We start from the raw sequence: 2,639 nt of genomic DNA, 5'->3' as shown, positions 1-2,639 counted from the left end.
ACCACCATAATAATCTTTATTTATTTATTTATTTTTTTGAGACAGAGTCTCGCTCTGTCACCCAGGCTGGAGTGCAGTGGCATGATCTCAGCTCACTGCAACCTCTGCCTCCCAGGTTCAAATGATTCTCCTGCCTAAGCCTCCCAAGTATCTGAGATTACAGGCATGCTCCACCACCCCTGGCTCAGTTTTATATTTTCAGAAGAGATGGGGTTTCCCCACGTTGGCCAGGCTGGTCTTGAACTCCTGACCTCAGGTGATCCACCTGCCTCGGCCTCCCAAAGTGCTGGGATTACAGGCGTGAGCCACCGCGCCCCGCCACAATCTTTAACATAAACATTTTTTTCTCAATTTTATATAAAGTGTAAATAAAGGCCTTTTTTTTTTAAGAAAACTAAGATATTTTTATAGTCGTATAACACAATCTATGGGTCAATTATGTGCTTACCAAGCCAACTCAGTTTCTACCAAAATCAGATTGCTATGCCCATGGCCCCCCTGTTGTGAAATTCTGGAGCAGCCTCTGGAAACAGAACCCCTTCCCCCTCTCCCTCAGGCAATAACTAGTGTGTTGCAGCTAAGAGCCACCAAAGCCATGACCCTCAACCCCCAGCTGGGGCCCATGTGAAAGGCACAGGGGAAAGGCTCGGGTTTCTCTGCCCTATCAGATCTGGCCAAGCCTGTTGTTTTTTTATGCCAGGGTGGATCAACAGTCCCAGTCTGCTGAAATCACTGGAGGTAATTAAGAGGGCAGGACTGGGCTTGGCCTCAGAGATGGAAGGACGGAGGAGGCTATACAGATTTTCCTTTCTGCAATGCTAGCACTACAAAATTGGCATTGGTATCTAGTTTCCTCCTCATGTCAGCTTGTTTAGGAGGCAAAAACCTAGGGAAAAGGAATCATATGTGAGGAGAATAAAATCACCTGGTGACCACTGAACAGGCCCCGAGACAAAAACTCCTAACCTGAGGAATTTAAAAGGGAGCAAAGACCACCTGGTGACTATCAAACAGGCCATCCGAAGGCAAAATTCCTTACCTGGGGAAAATTAGAAGTAATTAGACTTCCCTAGTATCTAAAGCAGGCATCGGTTCTAGATTTATTTCCCCGTCGAAAAAACTTATAAGTAAAACTAGAATTTCTATGCATCTCTGGAACGCCATGTCGAAACTCATTGTGCAATCCTTGCTGACATTAAGGCACCAAAATGTCTACAAATGTAATCATTTATCATGACCTATGTGGCTAATATGGTTCAAATTACCCTTAAGCTCCCACTTTAAGGTCCATAAATACCCCTAAGGAAAAATCACTGAGGCGCCTCGCTGCACCCTTCTGCGGCATTCTTTCTTTCTAATAAACCTTCCTTTTTCAAGCGTATACTGTGGTTGGTAAATTCTTTTTACCAACCCGCGAGTTGACTACTTCTCAATGCTGGGGCTCTGACACCTCACCCCGCAATACAAATTGGGAAGTGAAGTGCAAAGGTGGGTGCTGGGGTCTGCAGCTTTAGGCATGAAGGTCTGGCATTTTATCTAAAGCAGTGGTTTGCAACTGGGAGCAATTTTGCCTTCCACCCCAGCAATATGTGGAGACATTTTTGCTTATCATAACTTGTGCTGGGGGGTAGAACTACTAGCACCTGGTGGGTAGAAGCCAAGGATACCGCTAAATGTCCCACGATGCACAGGATAGGCCCTAAAACAAAGAATTACCCTGCCCAAGATGCCATCCCTGATTTAAGAGAACAGGAACAGGAAATAAAACTCAAATATGTAAGGACTTTCCATGTGCCACATGATCTGCACACACACACATGCACACACACATACATATGCGTAATTTAATTTTCATCCCAACTCCACAAAGTGATGCCCATTTCCCAGATGGCAAAATGAAATCCTCAATTCAGTGGGAATTTCACCCAGCTAGTAACTGGCAGAGGAGGCAATTGAATTTGGCTTTGGGTGATTGTCATTAGACTGTAAGCTCCATGAGGACAGGGACCTTGTCCATTTTGTTCACCTCTATGTGTCCAGTGCCTAGCAGAAGTTATTACTTAACTGAAGTTCAGTAAAGACTTTCTTGAATTAATGGGTTAATAAATGAATGTATGACTTAATGGCCCTGAAGTCCATGCTTGTTCATCCCCACCACTCCTTGAGAATAATGAAGATCCTCAAAATGTCCTTCTAGGGCTCCACAGAAGGCAGTATGTTGCATGCCAGGAACAGAAACCTCCTCAGGCTAACTCAGGTCAAAATGGGAGTTTATGGTAGGAATGCAGAGGTATGATAGAAACCAAACACAGCCAGGACTTATGGGGTTACAAAGCCACCAGGAATCAGAGCGCCCTGTGGTCTCTGTCATCGCTGCATCTCAGTTTTCTCTCCTAACAGATGACTTCCTGTGGGTAGCCATCTTACCCATGGCTGAGTATAACAAATGCAACCCTATTTTAACTCTAAAAGTCCACACGGCCTCTCAGCATAGCTCCCCTTATTAATCAGGTTAGTCTGTCAATATCTCAGTTACAAATTCCCAAAGGAAAAACTCAATTAGTTAGCATGGGCTAACCTTCAAGATGACACTTGCCCCAGCCAGACAACTGCAACTTCACAGGCGACCCTGAGTGAGA

At 44.8% G+C, this 2,639-nt stretch overlaps 1 annotated feature.

Annotated features, from left to right (window-relative positions):
- Positions 363-905: an enhancer, noted in NCBI's record as "NANOG hESC enhancer chr5:168027313-168027855 (GRCh37/hg19 assembly coordinates)". NCBI's record gives its function as "activates a minimal SCP1, AML or CMV promoter by ChIP-STARR-seq in naive H9 embryonic stem cells {active_cell/tissue: H9 hESC(naive)}" and the evidence as "EXISTENCE:reporter gene assay evidence [ECO:0000049][PMID:30033119]".

Source organism: Homo sapiens, chromosome 5 (genome assembly GCF_000001405.40).
Source record: "Homo sapiens chromosome 5, GRCh38.p14 Primary Assembly".
Taxonomy (NCBI): Eukaryota; Metazoa; Chordata; class Mammalia; order Primates; family Hominidae; genus Homo; species Homo sapiens.
Note: the sequence above shows the minus strand (reverse complement) of the source record. Positions and strands in the feature narration are given on the sequence as shown.